Source organism: Homo sapiens, chromosome 5, assembly GCF_000001405.40.
Source record: "Homo sapiens chromosome 5, GRCh38.p14 Primary Assembly".
NCBI lineage: Eukaryota > Metazoa > Chordata > Mammalia > Primates > Hominidae > Homo > Homo sapiens.
Window position 1 is genome coordinate 34,698,655 of NC_000005.10, and position 26,393 is coordinate 34,725,047.

General features: G+C 41.8%; 1 protein-coding gene and 1 long non-coding RNA gene across 19 annotated transcripts in view, besides 4 other annotated features; both read left to right on the forward strand.

Moving 5' to 3' along the window:
* Nucleotides 1-26,393, forward strand: part of RAI14 (retinoic acid induced 14) — a 176,285-nt gene that overhangs the window by 42,327 nt on the left and 107,565 nt on the right. The window lies entirely within an intron of this gene.
* Nucleotides 1,538-2,039: an enhancer, noted in NCBI's record as "H3K27ac hESC enhancer chr5:34700297-34700798 (GRCh37/hg19 assembly coordinates)". NCBI's record gives its function as "activates a minimal SCP1, AML or CMV promoter by ChIP-STARR-seq in naive H9 embryonic stem cells {active_cell/tissue: H9 hESC(naive)}" and the evidence as "EXISTENCE:reporter gene assay evidence [ECO:0000049][PMID:30033119]".
* Nucleotides 2,040-2,539: an enhancer, noted in NCBI's record as "H3K27ac hESC enhancer chr5:34700799-34701298 (GRCh37/hg19 assembly coordinates)". NCBI's record gives its function as "activates a minimal SCP1, AML or CMV promoter by ChIP-STARR-seq in naive H9 embryonic stem cells {active_cell/tissue: H9 hESC(naive)}" and the evidence as "EXISTENCE:reporter gene assay evidence [ECO:0000049][PMID:30033119]".
* On the forward strand, nt 10,748-22,652 carry LOC124900960 (uncharacterized). The gene is made up of 3 exons (XR_007058730.1): nt 10,748-11,572; nt 12,858-17,567; nt 18,135-22,652. It is a non-coding gene; the product is annotated as an uncharacterized LOC124900960 (long non-coding RNA).
* Nucleotides 22,741-23,241: an enhancer, noted in NCBI's record as "H3K27ac hESC enhancer chr5:34721500-34722000 (GRCh37/hg19 assembly coordinates)". NCBI's record gives its function as "activates a minimal SCP1, AML or CMV promoter by ChIP-STARR-seq in primed H9 embryonic stem cells {active_cell/tissue: H9 hESC(primed)}" and the evidence as "EXISTENCE:reporter gene assay evidence [ECO:0000049][PMID:30033119]".
* Nucleotides 23,242-23,742: an enhancer, noted in NCBI's record as "H3K27ac hESC enhancer chr5:34722001-34722501 (GRCh37/hg19 assembly coordinates)". NCBI's record gives its function as "activates a minimal SCP1, AML or CMV promoter by ChIP-STARR-seq in primed H9 embryonic stem cells {active_cell/tissue: H9 hESC(primed)}" and the evidence as "EXISTENCE:reporter gene assay evidence [ECO:0000049][PMID:30033119]".

Here is a 26,393-nt window from a genome sequence, read left to right on the forward strand (position 1 = left end):
TAATGGAGAAGGATATATACATGGGCAAATAACAGAAAATCAAGTGTGATGGGAGGTATGGGCCTCTCTATACGTCATTGAAAGCCTGGAATGGGTGGGGTGGGTGAAATAGAAGAATGAGGTTTCAAGTTGATTACATTTTCACTGTAGGATGATTTGGGGTTTTGAGAGACCGTAACCAGAAAAGGGGGCCAGGACTAGGGCCAGGGCTAGGCTGGTGGCTGCTGTGGGGCAAGAACGACGGGATTTGAGTGTGCGTGGGGATGAAGAGCAAGCAGGGAGGGAGCCTAGATTCCCTGCTGATACACCAAGGAAAGTCTCTCCCTTGCACTGCCACACCCTGTCCTGCCGTGCCAGCCAAGTGTGAGTGCCCCTCATCTCCTGAGAAATCTGGCGTGGCCTTAGCATTTCATTAGGCAACTTGGTGGGAAGACACACTAGAAAACATGAAAGGTGAGATCTCTTTGATTAAACAAGAATGTTTGGGTACAACTATTTACCACTAAAATACACTTAGCTACTAGGCATCATTCTAAGCAACTTAACAAACTGTGATTTATTTATACCTCTCATTAGAGAAGTGCTGTATGTATTCCCAGTTTACAGATGAGAAAACTGCAACATGGTATCTTGCTATGTTGGTTTCCAAAAGTGGCTGTAACAAAGTACCCTAAAGGGAGTGGCTTAAACCAGAGGTCAGCAGCCTCAGCTCCTTCTGGGGCTGTGAGGAAGAATCAGCCGTGTCTCTCCCCAGCTTCTGGTGGTTTGCTGGCAATCTTTGGTGTTTCTTGGCTTATAGGAGCATCATCCTGATCTCTGCCTCATCTTTGTATAGCGTTTTCCCTGTTTGCATGTTTGTTACCAAATTTCCCCTTTAATAAGGACCTCAGTTGTATGGGAGTAGGGGCCCACCTTATTCTTAACTAATTACAGCTGCAGTCCCCCTATTTCTAAACAAGGTTACATTCTGAGACATTGGGGGTTAGGGCTTCAACATATGGATTTTGGGGGAAACACGATTCAGCCATAACTCTTGTCCAAATCACAAAGCTAAAGTAGGGTGCAGAACTTGCACCTGGGAACTCTGGGTGCGGAGCCAGTGTCCTGCCACTGCTGGTGCACACGGGTGTTTGCTGTCAGGAGAACAAAATATGATGATTCCAGCCGGCCAAGTAAAGGCCTGGACTTGAATTTCAAATTCCTCATTCCAATTTCCAGTGGAAACTGACAGATAGTAATCATGGGTAATCTTTGACCAAAACATGCTTCAGTGACAGGGACGCCTAGGAGCCAGGTACTGGATTAGCTTTCTGAAAGCTTCTGGTGCTAGAGATAAGGAGGGTGGGGAGAGGGGCGGAGAATATGGAAATCAAAGCGGTCAGACTTGTTTTGAGCTGGGTGGGGCCTGGAGAAGAGGCCCAAAGCGCAAATTGGGAACTGAGACTTCAGGTAGGTATGTTTTAAAATAACAAAAAGTACATTTTTTGTTTTAAAATAACAAAGGGTATGATTTAGCCTAGGTTGGCTGTGCTTGTGAAGGTTTGGTGCACAGTTTTCCCCTGGGTGGTGGTTTCTGATGCTGGGTTCAGGTCTTTGGGAGTTGTAGGTGCCTGGTGAATAACTGGAGGGCGGACTGTTTTGTAAGCTCTGGTCAGTGTTCAGTGAGTTAAGTCCAGCAGTCATTGGAGTCTATTGCTGTAGACTCTTGCCTTTTTAGGTGCATTTGGAAAATCCACCTAAGCCCTTTCCCCATGGTGAACAAGTGGCTTTAGGTGGCAAGTGGCAGTCTTGGACACAGTAGGACATGTGGGATACTTGTCCTTGCTCTCCCTGCAGTTCCAGCCCAGTTCCTACACTAGTCATTGTGTTGAATGAATGAGTGACTAAATGTAAAATGGAAATACTGACAGTTTATCGTCAACACCCTGTGGCCCCTCTCTGTTCAGCATTTACCACTTTATCCATGTAATGGACAGAAATAAAAGGTCAGTAGGGTTTTCTGGATGTGTTTCCTTTAGGATGCTCTGCATGCCCTCTTGGCCATGTCTGTGCTGTGTGAAATTAACAAGTATCATTGGAGGCCTTGGCTTGTTACCTACAATCTACCTGTGTGCTTATTTTGTACCCAGACTGTGAAATTATTTTGTATCTATAGCTCATTAGCTCAAGTGGTTGAAGAACCACACTAAAGAGCCACAGTTATGAATTTAGACCTTGTGTAGGCTAATTAACTAGCCTGTGTTCCTTGGGCAGAAAATTACCTAAATTTAGACCCAATTTAACTGACTGGCATCTGTGTCTGTGGTCAAAAAAGAGACTGACTTCTTAAGAGCATTGCAACTCCTTACCAGAAACATAAGAAAAGACAGTCCTTCGGTCCTGGTTTTGATGGGGCAGCTATGTCAACCTCATGTAAAGGACACTATTGAGGACGAAACTCTGATTTTTTTATCTTGCACAAATTCCTATGTAGGGGGTCTGGGGAGTCATGCCCTACAAACCATGAATTCCCATCAGATGGGTTTTATTTAACCCTATATATCATGACTTATTTTCCAACCTGACTCTGGCATAACATTACGAGACAAGGAAGAAAATTAAAATATTTTACCCTAAAATATGTTTATTTGCCATATTTTGAAATGGCCCTGCAAAGCTCCTTCTTTGTGGGGGGAAAATGTGCATCTGTAAAGAATCTCTGTTAACATAGTTACATCTTTTTCTTCCAGACCCTCCCAAATTCTAAAGAGATTAAGATCTGAATAGGAAACATGTGTCATCTGTTCCCTCTAAGGACAGCCACTGTAAGACTTCAAAAGAACTTTGGTCTCCACAATCTTTATCTTAACCTGAATGTTCCCTTTCTACCAATCCCAAGTCTTTAGACAAACTCAACCAATTGTCAACCAGAAAATGTTTAAATTCACCTACAGCCTGGAAGGCTGCTCCCCCGCCCGCCTTACAGTTGTCAAACTGATGTATTTCTTAAATGTATTTGATTGATGTCTCATGCCTCTCTAAAATGTATAAAACCAAGCTGTGCCCTGACCACCCTGGGCATATGTTCTCAGGACCTCCTGAGGGCTGTGCACAGGTCATGGTCACTCATATTTGGCTCAGAATAAATCTCTTCAAACATTTTACAGAATTTGACTCTCCCTTTTTTTTTTTTTTGAGACAGAGTTTTGCTCTTGTTGCCCAGCATGGAGTGCAATGGCATGATCTTGGCTCACTGCAGTCTCCACCTGCCGAGTTCAACTGATTTATCCTGCCTCAGCCTCCCAAGTAGCTGGGATTACAGGTGCCTGCTACCACGCCCGGCTAATTTTTTGTATTTTTAGTAGAGACAGGGTTTCACCATGTTGCCCAGGCTGGTCTTGATCTCCTGGCCTCAAGTGATTCACCGGCCTTGGCCTCCCAAACTGCTGGGATTACAGGCCTGAACCACCACGCCCGCCCAAGAGTTCAACTCTTTTCGTCAACACTATGATTTCATTATTCAGTTCTTACACATTTGTGAGTCATTTATCCATAGTTTGTCAGAAAGACTCTAGACAACCTCCTCCTAGCTAGGGAAGAAATTCTCCAGAATGGTCAACCAACTCTCAAGACAGAAACAAGTCTCAATTCCAGCTTGGCCAACACAGTGAAACCCCGTCTCTACTAAAAATATGAAAAATTAGGCTGGTGTGGTATGCGCTTGTATTCCCATCTATTCAGGAGGTTGAAGCAAGAGAATCGCTTGAACCTGGGAGGTGGAGGTTGCAGTGAACCTAGAACGAGCCCCTCACGCCAGCCTGGGCGATCAAGCAAGACCCTGTCTCAGGCGGGGGGCAAGTGAGCGGGGGAAGAAACAGGTCTCAAATATTTAATCAGGTTAAAAGCAGTGAATGTTCAGTATCCCAGGCTCTGTTACCTTAATCAAGCCCATTATGGACCCCGTTCACATTAGCATCTCACTTCTCTACTACAAACCTGTGCTTTATAAACAATGCTCGGGTTGGCCACTGTTATAATTTTGGACACACTTAAGGAAAGCTATGGCAAGTAAATAGTCTTTTTGTTTTTTTGAGATGGAGTTTTACTCTTGTTGCCAGGCTGGAGTGCAATGGCATAATCTTGGCTCACCATAACCTTCACCTCCCGGGTTCAAGCAATTCTCCTGCCTCAGCCTCCCAAGTAGCTGGGATTACAGGCATGCGCCACCATGCCTGGCTAATTCTATATTTTCAGTAGAGACGGGGTTTCTCCATATTGGTCAGGCTTGTCTCGAACTCCTGACCTCAGGTGGTCCGCCTGCCTCGGCCTCCCAAAGTGGTGGGATTATAGGCGTGAGCCACCATGCCCAGCCATAAATAATCTTTAAAAAGGAATTTATTGTAGTATTATTTATATTAATGAGAAACAAAGTGTAACCCAGATGTTGGGAGTAAACAAATTGTTATATCCACAGAGAGGAAAGTTTTAGAGTCATTAAAAATGTTAAGCTTAAAACTATGCAGCAACTGGGAAAATGCGTATAATAAAATAAGTGGAGAGAAATTCAAGTTACAAAATTGTACATTACATTATAATTACAACATATAAAAAATGCATATGGTATACATCAACACCTCTTCTTAGAAATACTAGGGAAATAAGGATGGGCATAAATATTTAGCTTTAAGGATATTCAGCATAAAAAAGACCTAAAAATTAGAAACCACTTAAGTAAAAATTTGTTGAGTATATTTTGGGTATGTATTCCACAACCATTTAAAATGTTGCAGAAATTCATTAAAGAAAGCTGTTTTATGTATTATTACTAAGAGACAAAAGCAAGTTCTAGACATGCTTGTGATGCTTAAAATGCTTTCAATGTGTTTCTATTTCTTAAAAAACAACTTGGAAGATATAAACAAGGGTGAGAAGTCTCCAAAGACAGATCCAAGTTTTGTGGAGCCTGAGGTTTATATAAAAATCTATGGGAATCCTTCTTTAAAAACATCTTACTTTTGCAAATTTTACAACAACAACAACAGAAAGAATATACTATGTGAGCATATTGGTAGGCCTTGCAAGGGGCCCTGAGGTTTAAGCTTTAGTTGCTTTATGGGAAATTTTCTCCTGGGCTGTAGGTCTGCATTTCGGGGGCATCCAGCACACTGCTTCAGATTCTAGCAGTTACCTTGTAGGCACTCAGCTGATAAAGATACAAGCCTCGTAAATTGCCCTAAAGAACAAGCTCCTTTAATGTGATGGTTCTTTTATTTACCTCAATTGAGTACATCCATCTTTGTTGTAGTTCAGTGTTCTCCGAGTGTGATGCCTGGACCATCAGTATCAGCATACTTGAGGAATTGTTAGAAATGAACATTGTGGGGCTCCACCCCAGAGCTACCTAATCTGAAATTCTGGAAGTGCGGCCCAGTGATCTGTGTTTCAAAAGCACCTTCCCACCTTAGGGGATTCTGATGCAAATTGAAGTTTGAGGTCTAATCCGGCTCAGTCGTTGCCAGCCCTCATTACAATACCAGGAAAGCTTCTTAAACTACTGGTTACTAGCTTCTGCATCCAGAGGCTCTGTGTCCAATGAGAGAGAATGTTAACTCACCATGGCAAGCAAATAATTTACAGATTATGGCACTTTGAATAGAAAGAGGTTTAAATGGATGGCTGTAGAGATGAACACTTCCGTCCGGGTACTTTGTCCTGTTTGTCTTTCCTAAACTCCTCCAGATAGTCAGTATCCTTAATTACTTGACTGAATAGCTGGACAGTGTTTTCTGCACAGGTCCACAATTATTATCACTAAGAGTTAGTTTGGTTGATTAGTTAACCTCAAATTCTGTATACCCTACTTAACTATCTTTAAACCCGCTGACGTTCTGTTTCCTTATCAGCAAAATATAAATTTTAGAAGAGTACATCCCTCTTAGGGATATTGTGAGGATTAAATAAGATAGAAATGCAAAAGATATTATTCACTTCCCCTTTTCCAGATACTCTCTAATTCTGTTCCCAGTTATATACTCCTATCTATCAAATCTTTTTAAAAAATCATTATTTCTTCCATTTCTCCATTCGATAAGCAGAATCTCATGAAGGTTTAAATGATGAAGAAATTGTTACCTTTATTTCCTTATAGGATGACTTCAGTTTTCTTGCCACACTTACATTCCGTAGGAAGTTGGAAAAAGAAATACTCTTTCTGTGAGGATGGGACAAAGATGTTAGCTTTGTGCTATCCACTCTTCTAGTCACTAGCTACATGTGTCTGTCTAGCATGTAAAATATGGCTAGAGCTACTAAGGAACTGAATTTTTCTTTATTTCTTTCTTTTAGAGACAGGGTCTCCCTTTGTTGCCCAGGCTGGACTCGAACTCCTGGGCCCAAGCAATGCTCCCACCTCACCTCCTGAGTAGCTTCGGACTATGGACACATGCCACCATGCCTGGCTAATTTTATTTATTTTCATAAATTTAAATTTAAAAACAGATACTCAATGCAAATATTGGAAAATGCTTAAGTTTGGAACAACTTGGGTATGTGAATTTGTTTTTTCAACTCTAAATCTCCTGAAATCTAAATAGATGTCAAGTATTTGCAATAAAAATGTAGCATGGGAATTGAGATGTACAGTAAGTTTACAGGATTTTTAAAACCTAGTATGAAAAAAAGTAAAATATCCCAATAAGAGTTTTCATGGTGATTTCATGCTGAAATCATCATATTTTGCCTATATTGTTATTTTAAAAATATATTATTAAAATTAATTTCACCAGCTTATTTGTACTTTATAAAATGAGGCTATCAGGAAATATAACATGTGGCATTATATTATATATCTCTTGGATAGCACTATGTTAGATCCTAAAAGAAAACTGAAGTGGAATGATACTGGTTACATACTGCTCTCTTAATTAACATAAACAGATGTGAGCCTTTATACCCAGGAGTCACCAGCCCCCCTGCATTTGCCTTTGTGGACAGATGTGTAACCAGTTTCCTTTTTTCTTTTTATTTTTTTTGTGACAGAGTTTCACTCTTGTTGCCCAGGCTGGAGTGCAATGGTGCGATCTCAGCTCACTGCAACCTCCGCCTCCTGGGTTCAAATGATTCTCCTGCCTCAGCCTCCTGAGTAGCTGGGATTACAGACATGCACCACCACATCCGACTAATTTTGTATTTTTAGTAGAGATGGGGTTTCTCCATGTTGGTCAGGCTGGTCTCGAACTCCTGACCTCAGATGATCTGCCCACCTTGGCCTCCCAAAGTGCTGGGATTACAGGCATGCGCCACCACGCCCAGCCCACTTTCTGTTTTTCTTTAGGTTTATGCAAACATCCCCTGTATTTGCTCTCTGTCCTCTGAAGCTGCTGATTTAACATCACTGATTTTCCGTATGGAGCATCTCAATGAAATGCATTTTTAAATGCTGTGATTTTGGACTTTCTGTGTTTTTTTTCTGTGAAGGTTTTCCTGGCATAGGAATGTAATTGTTCTGCCCTAGTGTTATTCTCTGTCCATAGAAGGGAGTTACCATTCTTGGAACTCAGATTTATAACCACTTTCTTATTTTCGTAATGCCTCCTAATATACTTTTTAAAAGGGACTTAACCTTCATATAATTCAGTTTTCCTTAAAATGTTTAATCACCCACTTTAGCAGCCTTGGCTTTGTGTGACTCATGGAATATGTGTATCATTTTATTTTTAAAACTTACTCATTAAACTGAGGACAATGAAGATTTCTTAAAAGGTAAATATAAATAGAATGTCACTTAAGGATTATTTTCTGCTTTTATATGGTTTTTCCCATATTTTGAGGGTTCTTGCTCAAAATATCTCAGGCTGACTAATGAATTTTAGGCTGATACTTAGACATTCATGTTAACATTTGAAAATGATACTCGAACCCGGAGTTTGGGACTTAATGGAAGAAATGTTTTATTTCGGAACTTTATTACATTGATGTTGGGCCTATTGTGTGATTATACTGTATCACAGGAGATTGCAGGCTTTTTATTCCTGATCTGTATAGTTTATTCTTTGTTGCTGCCTCCTATTACTGCAGGAGGGGTTTTCTCTGCTTGAAACACCAAGTTATCTGGACCATTTTAAGGGCACAGAAATAATACTTGTGCCCTTTTTGTATATGCCTCATGTGACTCCTTGACCTTGAACTTTGTATGATGGATGGCATTTCATGAAAAATAGCCCTTTTCTACCCCAGAAAAGTTTTTCATCTTCCTTAACAAGAGGCAATAACTGAGTCAAGACCATCAAAACTTGCAGCTCTTGCCCTACCCCGCATCAAATTGCAGCATATTGAGAGATGATAAATATGTAAAACATGAAGCCAGAGAGGCAAAGACGTCAGCTCAACATTTTACTGTTACTTTCAGATAGCATCAAAACTTGGCACATGATGTTGTGGACAGAACCGCAGGCTATATTTACTGATCTTGGTTCTGCCAATTACTTGTGTGTGACTCCTGCAAGTCAGTTAGCCTCCCTGGGTTTCCACATGGGTGAAATAAGATGCTCTTGGCTGGGCACGGTGGCTCACGCCTGTAATCCCAGCACTTTGGGATACCAAGGCAGGCAGATCACCTGAGGTCAGGAGTTCGAGACTAGCCTGGCCAACATGGTAAAACCACATCTCTACTAAAAATACAGAAATTAGCCCGACGTGGTGTCAGGTGCCTGTAGTCCCAGCTATTTGGGAGGCTGAGGCAGGAGAATCTCTTGAACCTGGGAGGCGGGAGGTTGCAGTGAGCCAAGATCACGCTACTGCACTCCAGCCTGGCGACAGAGCGAGACTCCGTCTCAAAAAAAATGCTCTCAAAAGTCTCATTAAGCTTTAAAATTCTGTATTTCCTGTTCAGGTCTCTTTCCAAGTCCCTCTGCTCCTCATCCATCTTTGTGTCCACTGATAATTGCTTCTGTAAGAGAGTACAAAAGCAGTTCATTTATTTTTACTGGAGTTGTGCAAAGTCCCCCAGGCATCTGGGGGAAAAAAACCACACATCTTAATTGAAGTGTATTCAAGTCTCCCCAGTACCTCGTCAAAATTTATCATCTTCTACTCTTCTATGACATTTCTTGTAATCTCTACTAATTGAGAACAAACAACAGGGAATCTGGTCCTACTGTAAGTTATGATTATAATAACCTTTCCTTGAAATAGACAGTTATTTTTTCACATTTCCTTAAGCACATGGCAGAGCTGTAGACAGGAAATCCTCAAGCCTCTGACCCTCTCTCCAAGGGGAAAATCAAAGCTTTGAAAAAATGGCAGAAGAAGAAAGAGAGGGAATGTTGATACAGGGGCGGGAAAAGAGAAAGAAAGGAAGGAAGTGAAAGTCTATGTCTTTATGTGTCTACTGTATTTATGAGTTTGCTTTGTTTCTAAAGTGGAGTAAGGAAAGGTTATCATGTCAAGAAACTAGATCGTATGAAAGCTAAGCTGCTCCTGAGTGTTATCTAAATATAAAGATATAATTTAATATACTCTTTAGAACCACATTTGAAATAATAAAACCTAAGTATAAGGGAACTTTGGGTTTTTGTTTTTTTTTTTTGAGACCGAGTTTCACTCTTGTTGCCCAGGCTGGGGTGCAATGGCGCGATCTCGGCTCACTGCAACCTCTGCCTCCCGCGTTCAAGCGATTCTCCTGCCGTAGCCTCCCGAGTAGCTGGGATTACAGGCATGCGCCACCTCGCCCGGCTAATTTTCTATTTTTAGTAGAGACAGGGTTTCTCCACGTTGGTCAGGCTGGTCTCAAACTCCCGATCTCAGGTGATCCGCCCGCCCCAGCCTCCCAAAGTGCTGGGATTACAGGCGTGAGCCACCGCACCTGGCCAAAGGAACATATTTTTAAGAAGTCTGCAGAGTTCTGACAGTATAATCATGTCAGCAGTTAAAAAATTGTCAACTAATTAGCCTGCGTCTTTTGTGAAAACAACAAAAAAAAATTTTTAGCTTAAATTTATTTAAAACATATTCCATAGGTTGTGGGTATCTTTGCATTTATATATTTGGATGTTTTGCCAAGTTATAACAGTGAAAATAAAATGTCAGTAGTTAAAAAACCGTGATAAAATTTAAAACCATGGGGGTAATTGATTATAAAAGACCATTATGCCACAGATAAAATAAGTTGCCTGAGAGCCTGCCTGGAGCCATTAGTTAAAACATTGCCAATCTAATAATGATAGAACTGGGCAGCCATGGTGGCTGATGCCTGTAATCCCATATCTTTGGGAGGCTAAAGTGGGAGGATCGTTTGAGGCCAGGAGTTTGAAACCAGTCTGGGCAACATAGCAAGACCCTATCTCTATAAAAACTTTAGAAGATAACTGGGCATGGTGGTACATGCCTATTGTGCTAGCTAGGCGGGAGGAATGCTTGAGCCCAGGAATTTGAGGTTACAGTAAGCTATGATCATGCTTCTGCTCTCCAGCCTAGGCAACAAAGTGAGACCCTATCTCAAAAAAAAAAAAAAAAAAAAAATTCATTCAGAAATTCAGTTTCTAATGCCAGGCTTGCCTGTAATCCCAGCAATTTGGGAGGCCAAGGTGGGCAGATCACCTGAGGCCAGGAGTTTGAGACCAGTCTGGCCAACTTGGCGAAACCCCGTCTCTACTAAAAATAAAAAAATTAGCTGGGCATGGTGGCATGTGCCTATAGTCCCAGCTACTTGGGAGGCTGAGGCAGGAGAATCGCTTGAACCTGGACGACGGAGGTTGCAGTGAGCTGAGATCATGCCACTGCACTCCAGCCTGGGCCACAGAGCAAGACTGGTCTCCAATTAAAAAAAAGAAAATCAGTTTTTAAAGTAAACTTTCAAAAGTCTGTAGCTACTTTGTGTCAATTCTGCACAAGATGGGTTTTCCTAGTATTGGAATTTTGGAGGGTCTGCCCCTCTCTGTTGACATTTGGAAAAAAACAAATCTTCATTCATATAATCTCAGACAGTTCTTAACCCCACTGCACATTAACATTACCTGGGGAGCTTAAAAACAAAAGTTATTCCTGTTCTTCACCCAACTCCCATACAACTGAATACAATTTTCTGGAGAGGAGCTGGGTTGGGTATTACTTAGGCTCTTTGGAAGATTTTCCTGAGCAGAAAATGTTTAGAAGCACTGATCTAGGATAATAAGCAATCATCTAGGAGGGAAGCCGTGTAGATATTTTGTTTTGATCTCAGAGGCATAAGAATGAATTAACCACTCCTCATTCCCCCAGAGATAATGTGTGGAAAAACTTGTTTTCAAACCATCCCGAAGAAAAGCAAATGTGATTTAAGGCCAGATTGTTTCCAAGTGGCCTTTTGCAGTTCCTTTGTTCTGCATTCAGACTGAGTTGTGCGTGGAAATAGTTTAGGTATTAGTCCATGAACATGGAATTTGACCTTGGTAAGGAAATACATCCTCCGCTTTCCTCACTAACCAATTGTATTCATTTGTTAGGGCTGCTGGAATAAAGTGCCACAGATGGGCGGCTTAGAACAACTGAAGTATACCTTCTTGGGTCTGGAGGCGAGAAGTCTGTGTAGCAGGGCCATCCTGCCTCTGAAGTCTCTGTAAGGAAGAGTCCTTCCTTGCTTATTCCTAGCTTCTGGTTTTGCTGGCAGTTGTTGGAATTCCTTGGCTTGTAGGTGCATTATTCTAGTCCTCTGTCCTTACATGGTCATCTTCTCCCTCTGTATGTATCCGTCTTGGTGTCTAAATGTTCCCCTTTATAAGAACAGTAATTTCTTGTAGTGAGACTGGCTTGTTCCCTTCCCATGGCATAGGCTCTCTGTCAGATATTACCTCAGTATGTGAAAGAACTTGCATGCCTCTTGCTTCTCAAGGCTGGATTGGACTGACTCTAGGGCCCTTAGCCTCAGGCATTTGCTGAGGGGCCACTAAGTGGGTGGAAGATTAGATTTTAGTGTTTCCAAACTTTGTTGATGATGAGAATCACATAAGTTGCTTGTTAAGAACAGGGATTCCCAGGTCCTCTCCTTGAAGATTCTGGTTCAGTAGGTCTGGGTAGAACCAGGGAGCTGCATTTCAGTGAGGATCTCCCTGCACCATCCCTCCACCACCCAGCTCTTGCAGGTGATTCTTATCAATGAGTGAGCTTCAGAAACATTGGACTAAGTGACTTCTGCTCAGCATGCCAAGACTGTAAAGTTTCTGACATGTGTTCTTCCAGCAGAAGAGATTTCTAGTAGACTATTCAATATCTTTCCTCTCCTTTCTTAGTAAAAGAACCTTATCTTTTATTTGGGATGCAGTGAATTCAGTTAAAAGAGTTTCCTAGCCTTCTTTGAACTACGTTTGACTGACTAGGTTTGACCTGGTCAAAGAGAAGTGATGGGGGGTGCTATGGACTGAATGTTTGTGTCCCCTCAAAATTACTCTGTTGAAATCCTAATGCCCAAGGTGACTGGTATTTAGAGATGAGGCCTTTGGGAAGTGATTAGGTCATAGGTTTCATGCGCGTCCGTGTGAAGAGACAACCAAACAGGCTTTATGTGAGCAACATGGCTATTTATTTCACCTGGGTGCAGGCGGGTTGAGTCCGAAAAGAGACTCAGCAAAGGGTGGTGGATTTTCATTAGTTCTTATAGGTTTTGGGATAGGCAGTGAAGTTAAGAGCAATGTTTTGCCGGCAGGGGGTGGATCTCACAAAGTACATTCTCAAGGGTGGGGAGAATTACAGAGAACCTTCTTAAGGGTGGGGGAAATTATAAAGAACATTCTTAAGGGTGGCAGAGATTACAAAGTACATTGATCAGTGAGGGTGGGGCAGAAACAAATCACAATGGTGGAATGTCATCAGTTAAGGTTATTTTTACTTCTTTTGTGGATCTTCAGTTACTTCAGGCCATCTGGATGTATATGTGCAAGTCACAGGGGATGCGATGGCTTGGCCTGGGCTCAGAGGCCTGACAACAGGGATGGAACCCTCATGAATGAGATTATTGCCCTTATTAAAAAGGCCCCAGAGAGCTACTTCATCCCTTCTGCCATATGAGGACACAGCAAGAAGACAGCTGTCTATGAACCAGGAATCAGGCTTTCACCAGACACCGACTCTGACGTGATCTTGGACTTCCCAGCCTCCAGAAGTGTCAGAAATAAATGTCTATTGTTTAAGCCACCCAGTCTGCAGTATTCTGTTACAGCAGCCTGAACTGAGGTAAAACAGGTGGAAGGCCCTGTCAAAGCATCCTTGTATGCTGCTGAAAGTTACACCGCCTCTTTTCCTTATTCTATTTTTTTTCCTTTTATTCTATTTTTTTTATTCTATCTGAGATGAGGAATTGATGGTTAGCATGCTTGCTGCCGTCTTGAACCTTGGGGTGATCTTGTTAAGTCAGTGGAACCTATAGATTGAGGGAGCCCCAATTTCAAATTTCCTTAGGGCTATCATGCCAGCTCTGGGCTGACTCCTCTAAGCCTCTCTTTATTTGTGTAGACTTATCTCTAGTTAAAACCACTTTATATGGGGTTTCCTTTTATATACAGTAGAACCTAATCTTTATTGATATATCCCCAAATTTGGAACTTTATGAGTTTCGTTTAAGTTATAAACATCACTAATCAAATCACCTAAATTCTGTCTTCAAGGTACATTTCCTGAGCCTAAAACTTGCCTTTCTTTCCTTAAGAGGAAAAGGAACAATTTGGAGTTTATATTTAAAAACTCTCTGAGTTCCAAGATGATTGGAACAAGTCTCAATGGGAGGAACAGGTCAAGTCACATTGTACCTTTAGTGTCTCCTGGTGACAATGAAAGGGAGCTTTCAGTTGACACGTGCATGAAGGAAGGAAGGAGTGCTGGGTGAGAAGCAGCATAGGACTAGAGGAAAGCAAGAGAGTGATTGCTTTTCGTTATACTTTCCTACTTTTCAAGTCTGTTTATTGAGGGAATTCAGTTGTAATGATGTGTTGAAAGTGCTTTTTAAATGATAAAATGCCTTATGTATGTTATTTACTGAGCACTGAGTTATATATAAGGATGTTCAGATACACTACGACAGTTTTTCCAAGTGACAACTGCTAGATATTAACAGGTGTCATAAGCAAGAAAAGTTTGTGACAAACGGGTTTGGGAAATGTCATGTCAGGTCTCTTTATTACAGGACTTCTCAGTGCCTTTAACGTATTAATGTACATTGTGAGTATCAAAGAAAAAGGAAGGTTGTGGGGAAGGGGATATGCCATGCGGTATTATTTTTTAATATTAAAAATATGGGTGTCTTGAAGAATAGAACAACCTTGGAGAAAGGCAGCTTTAGGAAGAATTATGTAAAGATGTAAGAATACATATTTAGTACCTACTAGATGCAAGGTTCCAGAGCATACATAAAATGAGACACATTGTCCTTGAATTCTGAAAACAAACACTTTTTATGGGTTGGTGGGGCGCAAAACATTTACATGTGGAAGAATAATATTTAGGATAGAATCTAAGTGCCACTTGTACCCAACATTGTACCCAATAGGTAACTTTTCAACCTTCATTCAGTCCCTGTCTTCTGAGAGCTTATGATGTAGGGCTGGTGAGGATGGTGGATAAGGATGAGGCCAAGGATAACATGGAGTGGGATTAGAGAACACAGGCAGTGGTGAAGAGGTTCAAAGAAGACAATTGTCACACCCAAGAGAGGGATTACGGAGGGGAAGGAGAGACTCACTAAAGGGAGGATCTCACAAGATAGGCAGAATTTCAAGAGAGATGGGATTGAGGTCATTTTGTGGGCTGAAGCTATCCTCCTACTTCAGCCTCCTGAGTAGCCGGTCTTGAACTTCTGGACTCAACAGTACTTTCTAATACTGGAGTTATTAGAAAAAAAAACAAACCCAAAACTTAAAAAGGAAGACCCTTATCCTTCACTGAGGATCTGTTTCTTTTTTAAAAAAATTTTAAACATTGTTTTATAAAGATAATGTCTCACTGTGTTACTCAAGCTGGTCTTGAACTCTTGGTCTCAATTGACCTTCCTTCCTCTTGACTCCCAAAGTATTGGGATTACAGGCGTGAGCCGCCGTACTTGGCTGAGGAGCTTTTTAATGGGAAATTCTTAGATGGCTTCATTGTCTATGGGTGTAATTTCCTGAGACAGTCCTACTATCCTGGTCTTTATTGCTGTATTTGAATTTCTTTTCTTTTCCTTTTTTTTGAGATGGAGTCTCGCTCTGTCACCCAGGCTGGAGTGCAATGGCACAATCTTGGCTCATTGCAACCTCTGCCTCCCGGTTTCAAACGATTCTCCTGCCTCAGCCTCTGAGTAGCTGGGATTACAGGCATGTGCCACCACGCCTGGCTAATTTTGTATTTTTAGTAGAGACAGGGTTTCACCATATTGGCCAGGCTGGTCTCGAACTCCTGACCTCATGATCTGCCCGCCTCGGCCTCCCAAAGTGATGGGATTTCAGGCGTGAGCCACCTCGCCCGGCCTTTGAATTTATTTTCTTTTGAGTAATAGGTACAGTTCTACTGTTCTACATGAAGAATGAGTTTACATTCTTCACATAAATTTCTAAGTGTCAACTTATAAAAGCTCTATTACCATATTTCTAATTTTTTTCTGTTCATTAATGTCATTTTAGACTTCTGTTTGATGGTTTCTGTTCCTCAACTCATTGTTCTCAGAATAGCCTTTGAAAGTCACATTAAACACAGATGAGATGTGCAAAATAACTTCAAATTTTTAGAGAAGAAACCACATAAAGGTGGCGTTGGGTTATCTGGGACAGGGATACGGAGGGAAGCAAAACTAAGTATATGTGCCTTCTAGTGGGCATTCCAGCAAAGAAGCCAGATTGATTTTCTATTTGATTTCTTCTGAGTGGTTTCACTCCTTGCTGGAGTCAATGTCATATGATCTTGATCATTTGCCAATATAAGTAAGAAATCTAAGTGTAATTATTGGACAGGAAGGGAAGCAAGAACTCTTCAGCTTTAAAATCCAATGGCATATAATAATAATTAACCCTGTTTTGTGGAATAAAATATCAGCAGGAATATTTAACATGAAGCATACTGTTTCCCAATACCTTCGTTGCATTGTCAAAAAGTTTTAGCCCCAGGATTCTGTTTTTTATTTACTGTTTCTGTCCACCTCTCTGCTAAGGAACTTGTTGGTCTGCTGATTCTATTAAGATTAGCATTGCAGTAGCCCAACCTTGAAAACAGCTATGCTGGAAGGATCAATGACTCTAGCCATCAAAGTGGACAAGGGAAGGGAACCTCACTTGCAGTTCCTCGGTCTACCTGCCCACCTCAGCTTCAGGGCCTTTTGATATGGTGGGCTAGAGGAGGTCCAAATGCTGGTGGGATCTCAACCTCACCTGGTGTCCAGGTGCTTGACACCATCCCAAGAAGGAATTCATGAGTCAGAAAATTGTAGAAGTATGGAGATTTATTGCAAAGGGAAAAGTACACCCTCAAGGGGCAAGGGGAGCGTGGGCATACTCAGGAGAGTTGTGCGTGTGAGGGGGTTTGGGGCTGCTACCTTTATGGGCTTCATTCACCAAGGTGGGGAATATTCATGAAAATTCCTGGAAGGTGGTGGAGATTTCTTGGAACTGTGGTGTCACCGTTTTTATACCAAATGTGGGTGTTCCTGAAACTATCATGGCACTCGTGGGGGAGTTGATTAAGTATGCTAATGAGTGCATAATGAGGTTCTAAGAGGAACCTAGGTCAGATCCAGCATCATTTTGGGTCCAGTTGGTCTTAGCCAGCTTGGTCCACGCCCCAGTATTTCAGGGTCTTATCAGTCCCTAGCTTCTGCAGGTAATTTCAACAGTTTCTTTTTACTAGTCATGTGAAACTCCTGCCTGGAATTTTCTGTTCTCCTGAACCACTCTGTATTATTCCTGTCTCGCTTTGACTTGGTGTTCCCTGCCCCAAAAGGCTCTTTGCCTGGTCTCTGCACAGTTGCTACCTAAAAAGTCTTTTCCTGACACCTCCCACCCCTCGAGTAAAATCACACATTCTTCTGGCTTCCTATTCTTTCATTTTAACTTTTTAAATACTTCTCACCCTTCATGTGTTACCTGTTTGTTCATGATGTATTTGTTTGTGAACTGTCTTCTCCCTAGAGCAGTACCCTATCAGGACTTAGGCTCTGGGGATTTCACTGCTCATTCTCCAGCCTGGCACATAAGAGGTGGTCAGTAAAACTGTCGAATGAATGAGTGAATGAGTGAATCACAGTTAACCTCAGTTATAAAGATGTAATCATCAGTCTTCCCAAAATTCTTACAATACTGGACACTTTAAAGGAAATGAGGCTTTTTTAAAAAAAGAAAAAGCATTTCCTGGCAGGAATTTATGTATTTGTATGCAATATGTGGGTAGTTACAGTACAGTGCAAGAAAAACAACCATATTTCCTGTCCTCTAGGAATTTGAAATCTGTAAAGAACTCTAACATTGGAAATGCCTGATAACATACATCTGCAGTTATTTGTGGCAAAAGACAAGGCAAATAGGCAAATATTCGGTATTATAAAAAATGCACAGATTTCAAAGGACAAGTATAGGTGGATTTACATGCCTACATCTTTTGAGGTGAGTGGAAATTTGTACATGATAATCTAGGTGAGGCTGAGGCTCCCTGGCTGTGACAGTTCCCTTTGGGCTATTCCCCTGTACCTCCTGGGTCAGCTGATCTGCCTCCATCCAGAAAAGATGCTGAGGAAAGTCAGGAGTGGTCAGTAGCTTTTGTCATGTGGGTAGCTAATTACAAGTTTTGGGTTAATTTTTTTTTTTTTTAATTGAGACAGAGTCTCGCTTTTGTTGCCCAGGCTGGAGTGCAGTGGTGCAATCTCGGCTCACTGAAACCTCCACCTCCTGGGTTCAAGTGATTCTCCTGCCACGGCCTCCCAAGTAGCTGAGCCTACAGGTGCGTGCCACCATGCCTGGTTAATTTTTGTATTTTTAGTAGAGACAGGGTTTCGCCATGTTGGTCAGGTTGGTCTTGAACTTATGACCTCAAGCGATTCACCCACCTCAGCCTCCCAAAGTGTTGGGATTACAGGTGTGAGCCACTGCGCCCGGTCAAGTTTTGGGTTAATTTCTCAAAATGTCTTCTCTCGCACGTTTCTTATCTTTTCACTCTTTTCTCCTGCTTTCTAGGTCTTTCTTCTTTGAGAGGAAAGGGAGAGACCCTGGTTAGGCCAGAAATCCATGGAGAAGAGTTTTCTTCCTCTTCTGCCTTCCACTGTGGTTGGTAGATTTTCAAGATTTTAGTGGAGATTGATGGAGGATCCTGCAGGCTGCAGCCTCATCCCCCTCACAATGTATTTTTTGTAATAGGTGAAATGCTGCTTCTTTATTATGGTCAGGAGAAATGTTCTCTCACTGCTGGTGGCCAGTATATAAATCTTAACTTGTATGTTTATATATTCAGCATTATGTATGTGTATGTGCGCATGTGTGTGTGTTTGTGTGTAATGGATTTTAGTTGTGCATTTAGTAGGATAAAACACATGCATTTCTTTCATTTATGACTTATACTGTGACTAATTGTGGTTCATTTTAAGACTATTTATTTTAAAGAGTTACCGCAAAAAAGTCTTTGAATTGTTGGCATGCTAAAGTTAATGATAATAAGAATCAAGATTTTGAAAAGCACACTTCTTAATTTCTTCTTTCCTCATTTAACCAGAGCTGAACAGCTTACAAGTAGAAATCATGGGTTTTGGTATATAGAAATATAGGCTTAAAAATATGGATGCAATTTTAATACAATGCAGTTTTATGAGGCGGAATATCTTAGTTGTTTGACCCTAACCGACTTCATTAGGATGTTGTAATTCCCCTCCTTTAACTTGCCCATTTTGGGCGGGGGGGAATCCTTGTGGAATGCAGTGATTCAAGAGCTTAAGGACAGCAAGAGAGCAGGGGTAGGGATGGTTACAAGGTAAGACGTGTAGTCCCTGAGCAAGGCCTCCTTAAGGATGTGAATTCTGATTACTGCAACTGAAGAAGACAGATGTGGGAAGAGAGTGCAAATCCCAGTCACCCCACCCATGCCCGTCTTTTGCTGGCTGAGGGGTGGCTCTGTGTCTTTTGCTCCACATCCCCTGTGAATGTGAGGGCAAAGAACTCTGCTGAAGTTGTTGGTCTTTTGTCAGAAGAAGGCTTTAAGTACTGGCATTCTTTCCTCATGAGCACAGATCCGGCTCCTGTTTCTCAGGGAGGGCAGTGAACTTGCTCTACATTCCTCATGGGTAATGAAGTTGTTCCCAAGCCTGTCACCACCACATCCTTCCAACCCTGCTCTTAAGCTTCTTTTTCAGAGGGAAGCAGAATGTTTACTCAGTAGGACATCCTAAAGGACAGAGGCAAGGCAAGGAGAGGATGGAGAAAAGCTCATTCTCTTTTGACCACAATCACTGTCACTGGCTGCAGGGTGTGGAAAATGGGAAGGCACAGTATATCATCATTTCCTCAGGACGGAATGCTGGCCAGTGCCCGATGGGAACAACAGCTAGCAAATTAGTGAATTGTGGCTGCCCATTATTTAAGAGAGAACACGTGGTAACCACCTTCAGTAAATAAATGCAGATGAATTTGGTGATTTACAACTCTTGTGTTTTCTTGTGGTAACACAGTTGTCCAACTGATCAGGCATGAATGTTAATTTACACACCATAAGGTACGTGGTTAGTGGTTCTCAACATTTTTAAACATGAGAAACCTGTTCTAACATACACAGAGTTCACAGATCTTTAAGAACTTTTAGCTGTTCTGTTATCTGTTGGTTGAGAAGACACATAATGGTGAGATCAAAATGTATTAAGTGGATTTGAATTACAATTATCATGGAACTTACTATATTTGAAAACTGTGTGTATGTAGCATATTACACACAATGGTGCTCAGGGATTCAGGATCTTTTCTCGTCCCCACCAAACTGAGGACCCTCCTCTGCCCTCCCCCGTTCTCAGTTCAGGGCCAAAGCCCCCAGGTTGGGATCTACTGGGAGAATCAAAAGATTGTGAATTTTGGGTCAGGCAGAGAGGGGATCAAATTTCAACTCTACCACATCCTGTATGATCTTGGGTAAGTTACTAAACCTTGCTGTGCCCCAGCTTCCTCGTCTTTAAAATGGAGATCAGTTCCTATGAAGACTTAACCTCCTAGGGGTTTTGGAGGAATTGAAGTTTTGTTGTACCATGAATAGTGCCTGCGCAGGAAAGGTGGCACTTAAAATTTTTTCCCCACTTCTTGCCTACTCTCCCCACCTCCAGGACAGATTCAAGACCAGTAATGCACAAGATGAAAATCAATAAGTTAATTCTTTCTGCCTCTGAGCATTCATTTAGCCGGTACTGTATGTTCTAGTTAGTAGAGCTATTTGACAAATGACTACTACTTTTAGTGGCGTAAAACAAATCTTTATTACACTCACCAATTCTCTGGACAGGGTACAACAGGGACAGCTCGTCTCTGATCCGTGTTGTGGAACTTCAGCTGGGCAGACTGAAAGGATGGGGGCTAATTACCTGGTGGCTCATTCCCTCAGCATCTGACGGATAATGCTGGCTGTCACCTAAGACCTTAACTGAGGCTTTTGGCCAGAACGCTGGTGCCCCATTGGCCCTGGCTTTCTCACAGCATGGTGGCTGGGTTCCAAAAGGAAACATCCTGAGAGAGCTAAACGGAAACCTCATCCATCCCCTGTCATGGTCTAGCCTTGGAAATCATACAGCATCGCTTCTGCCACCTTCCATCCATTGAGATTGTCACAACATCCCGCTCATATTCAAAGGGAGGAGAAATAGATTATGCCTCTTGATGCAAGGTGGTTCTGGAGAGTATATGGGAACAGAAATCTTACCGCACCCTTTGTGGAAAATCTCTGCCACGGTATGTGAGCAGTTTGTAAATTTATAGAAAGGGACTCCTTGAATGTCCTTGCACTGCTCTTCCCTGAGTTACCGTGGTTGCACGCTGGACTAAAAGCTAAGACCTTAACACAAAGACCTGAAATATAGTATCTGAACTCTGTCCCAGGGCACGTGTCACCTTCTAGCTTTGAACTGGAGCCTGGGTTTTCATCTAAAAGCTGGCTTTTAGATGTCTGGTCAATGGCATGTCAGTAACTGAACTCTGCGCTATATGCTAGGTGGTAATATCAAGGTGTAAGACGCACCAGCGAAGCCAAGGGCTGACTTTCTTTCCAATTCAAAGATATTTTTTGTGGTAACTCTTTAAAATAAAGTCTTAAAATCAGCCCTAACCTGATTTTATTTCTGGACAAGAGCCATATTACCTGTACCCCACTTTGTCTCCATTACTAAAAGTTCACCAATTACATTGTCTTCCTAAGATTTAAAAAAAAATTTAAATAATTATAGAAAAAGTTGTAGTGTTTGGAAAGCTACCTTAGAAGGAGAAGAATTGGCCTCTAGTTAGGAATGAGAATTCTTCCTTATGATATTATGACAGTTACTTTCCCCAGTAAATATTTATTTCTTCTCAGAGCTTATTTGCAAGTGAGATATACTTAAAGCTAAACAAACGATTAGCTCACAAAGTGTTAAACCAAAAAGAAGTTTCGCAGAAAAAGAATGGACACATAATTTTAAAAATGTATATGTATCATATAGTTTGATTATGTGTAAACCAAAAATTTAAGGGAGGATGATGGGTTGTTTATCATTTATATGGAGTCAAGTTAGTCTATAAAATGTTCAATCGCTTCCAGACTCTGAAAGTCATTCTATGACCCTGTCTCAGATTTTTTTTTTTTTTTTTTTTTTTTTTTGAGATGGAGTCTCGCTCTGTCGCCCAGGCTGGAGTGCAGTGGCGCAATCTCGGCTCACTGGAAGCTCCACCTCCCGGGTTCATGCCATTCTCCTGCCTCAGCCTCCCGAGTAGCTGGGACTATAGGCGCCCGCCACCACGCCCAGCTAATTTTTTGTATTTTTAGTAGAGATGGGGTTTCACCGTGTTAGCCAGGGTGGTCTCGATCTCCTGACTTTGTGATCTGCCCACCTCGGCCTCCCAAAGTGCTGGGATTACAGGCGTGAGCCACCGCGCCCGGCAGATTTTTTTTTCTACTTGACTAATAAAAGTAATAGCGCTTTCATGAGGTCTCACTGGGCTGTTTGGAGTATGTGAGGGATAACAGAGGTGAAAAGTTTTTGGAAATCTGCATGTGCTATTCACATGTAAAGTTCTGGCTTTTATTTTTTACTTTTTTTACTTATTAGAGCTAGTTCTCACTATGTTGCCCAGGCTGGCCACAAACTCCTGGGCTCAAGTAATCCTCCGCGCTCAGCCTCCGGAGTAGCTGGAATTACAGGAGTGCACTGTAATTTTTGTTGTTGTTGCTATTATTAGTCAGAGGTGGGACTCCATGACAGCCCACAGAGAGGGGAGGAACAAAGACCTGCCTTCCCACATGGGTTCTCTTCCCCTATTTCTTATATTTCCCCTTCTTCCTTCTCCTCTCTTAAGTCTCTTTCTTCCCATTGCCTTTTTTTCCTTCCCTGTCTTCTGTAAGGTCTTCGGCCTCCCGTTGTTGTCCATAGATATTGCTTCTGGTATCTGGACTCTGAATGCCTTGTGATCAAAACTATGTTGTTTATATAGATATGTGTGTGTATGTATGTAGATGTAGATGTGTATATATATATATATATATATATATATATATATAGATGTGTATGTATGTATATTGTATACATACATATAAAATATGTACATATATTTATGTACATAAATATGTAGATATGTAAAATATGTACATATGTTAAAAATAATACAAGGATCTCACATCATGCCTAGTCCAGAGCTCAAGAGGGATGTAGCAACTAAATGTATTATGACCATCTAGATTGCAGGGAAAATCATTAGCCAGGCTCAAAAAAGTAAACCTCTGCTGCTTTCTAGATTGAGCAATACACAAGATATTGTTCATGTGGCAAATCAATGCCAGCAATTCCGTGTCTGCCTTTATGGCTTGGACTTAGGGCTTTTATTTTAAATGATTTCTTATTTTCTCTGCCAACTGGTCTCTAAATATAAGTTCGTGTTTTTCTTGAACGGACACTTTTTTTTTTGAGGTGGAGCCTTGCCCTGTCACCCAGGCTGGAATGCAGTGATGGAATCTATGCTCACTGCAGCCTCTGCTTCCTGGGTTCAAGCGGTTCTCCTGACTCAGCCTCCCAAGTAGCTGGGCTTACAGGTGCGTGCCACCACGCCCAGCTGTTTTGTAGTTTTAGTAGAGCCAGGGTTTCACCATGTTGGCCAGGCTGGTCTTGAACTCCTGACCTCAGGTAATCCACCCACCTCGGCCTCCCAGAGTGCTGGGATTATTACAGGCGTGAGCCACTGTGCCTGGCCTTGGCTGGACACTTTTAACTGCTCTAGAAGAGAGCTGTTCTTTTGGTGTCTCGCCCTGAAAGTGAGTTTTATGTATGCCATGTAGTCTATATGTAGATCTTTTCAGATAGACCCTTTGTTATGAGCTGAGTTGTGGCCCCGCCCACCCCCAAAGTGATATGTTGAAATCCAAACCCCCAGTTCCTCAGACTGTCACTGTATTTGGACATAAAGTTAACATGAGGCCTTTAGGGTGGGCCCTAATCTAGTATGACTAGTATCCTTATACAAGGAGAAAATTTGGACTCATGAAGAGACACACACAAGGGATGTACATGCACAGAGAAAAGTCCATGTGGTGACACAGTGAGCAGCTGTCTGCAAGCCAAGGCAAGAGGTCCCAGGAGACATCAGCCTGCTGGGTGACACTTTGATCTTGGATTTCCAGCCTCCAGTCTGTGGGATTTTGTAATGGCAGCTCTAGAAGACTAACATCCCCTCCGGTTTTAGTGAAAATTTGTAAAGCATTGTTGTGTGATGTGGTGACAAGCAGAGAAATACAAACTTAATCTCTGCCAGGCGTGATGGCTCATGCCTGTAATCCCAGCACTTTGGGAGGCTGAGGCGGGCAGATCATTGGAGGTCAGGAGTTCGGTACCAGCCTGGCCAGCATGGTGAAACCCCGTCTCTACTAAAAATTCAAAAATTAGCTGGGTGTGGTGTTGTGCTCTTGTAATTCCAGCTACTTGGGGGGCTGAGGCAGGAGAATCACTTGAACCAGGGAGGTGGAGGTTGCAGTGAGCCAAGATTGCGCCACTTTGGGAATCCCAGCACTTTGGGAGGCTGAGGTGGGCAGATCACTGGAGGTCAGGAATTTGAGACCAGCCTGACCAACATGGTGAAACCCCGTTTCTACTAAAAATACAAAAATGTATAAATAAATTAAAAAAAATACAAAAATTAGCCAGGCATGGTGGTATGCACTTATAATTGCAGCTACTCAGGAGGCTGAGGCAGGAGAATCGCTTGAAACTGGGAGGCAGAGGTTGCAGTGAGCCAAGATTGCACCACTGCACTCCAGCCTGGGCGACAGAGTGAGACCCTGTCTCAAAAAAAAAAAAAAAAAAACCCACTTCATCTTATTTTATGGATCCACTGTGGAGTGATGGTGAGGGTATATATTAGAGTTCTCCAGAGAAACACAACCAATAGGATGTTTATCTATATACCTATATATAGATGTGTATATAGGATGTTTATTTATCTATAGAGAGAAAAAAAAAGGAGATTGATTGATTCTAAGGAATTGGCTCATGTGATTGTGGGCTGGCAGAATCGGAATCTGTAGGGCAGCCTGACAGGCTGGAGACTTCAAAGAAGAGTTGGTATTTCAAGTCAAAATGCAGTTTGGAGACAGAATACCTTTTTTGTGTGAGATCTAAGTCTTTTGGTCTTCAACTATTCGGATGAAGCCCACGTACATTATGGAAGGTGCTCCTCTTTACTCAAAGTTTACCGATTTAAGTGTTAATCATATCTAAAAAGTACATTCACAGCAATATCTAGACTGGTGTTTGACCAAATAACTGCACCGTAGTTTAGCCACCTTGACACATAACATTAACCGTCGCATAGTGGAGATGAGGAAGTGGTAGTCTGGGCCTACGTTATATAAGAATAGTGAAATTTCACCTGATTTAAGGAAAGCTAAATGTTAAATGTTAACAATGTGTTTTTACATGTATAACATCACTTAATTATTTGAATCAACCTTTTGTTTTAATACATGAGTGAGTTGACCATATATTTAGTTTTAATATACTCATCACCCATAAATTTCTGTTGATGATATAAGCATTACGTGTGATATAGGCTGTGGACTGGTATTTACATATGCTTCAAAATTTCAATACTCATGCTAGGAAATTGCTTGGTCTATGCTTTTTTGCCTTGGTGTGACTTTTTGCCTTAAGTATTATTATTATCTTTATTATGGCATAAAGCAGTATTTTATACACTAACTCCTTTTATTTATTTATTTTTGAGACGGAGTTTTCACTCTGTTGCCCAGGCTGGAGTGCGGTGGCGCAATCTCGGCTCACTGCAAACTCTGCCTCCTGGATTCAAGAGATTCTCCTGCCTCAGCCTCCTGAGTAGCTGGGATTACAGGCATGCACTACCACATCCAGCTAATTTTTGTATTTTAGTAGAGTCGGGCTTTCACCATGTTGGCCAAGCTGGTCTTGAACTCCTGACCTCAAGTGATCCACCTGCCTCAGCCTCCCAAAGTGCTGGGATTACAGGTGTGAGCCACCACACCCGGCCTAGTTGTTCCTTTCTAGAGGACAGATCCATATCCTTTAAATCTGCTTGATAAGATACCCATTTCTATCCAGATAATGAAATGTTTTGGTTATTAAAGTATGCCCGGTATTTGGGCAAAACTAGAATCTAATAAATTGTAACCCACAAATCATATGTGGGCTATCAGTGAACACTTTCCCCTAACTCCCCATGGCGTGACAGGAAGCCATGGAGAATAAGAGTAAAGTGATAAAACTGGCAAGTGGACCGAGAAATCCAAGCCATGAGAATTCTGAGAACAGAGAGCAAGAAACAGCTCTCTGTCAGCATTCAAGGACAGAACTGAAGTTCAAATAGGAAAAAAGGATGCTGCTTCAAGGATCAGGAGTTGATTCTCAGAGACTCTGATGCATTGCCTTGGTGTCTTAACCTGTAGCTTAGTTTTCCTTGGGACTTTGCACCACAATCCTACTCAGCTACCGTGGGAATTCTTGCTTGAAAGTAAATCTAGGACTATAGTTGTGGTAATATTTGAGCTTTACTTTTCTTCTGTTACTCTTGTCCATTTGATTGAGGCTAAGAAAACTGGCCCTCTGTTAAATTGAAGTTGCTTTTCTAAGGCAATAGGCTCTGGGAGAATGGAGAGGTGGGGTCTCCTAGGTTACCAAGCTTGTGCACTCCCATGAAAAAGCCTGGGTCTCTGTAAAATATGTTGGTAACAGTTAAAGCAGAAGCCATTGGAGAGAGAGAGAG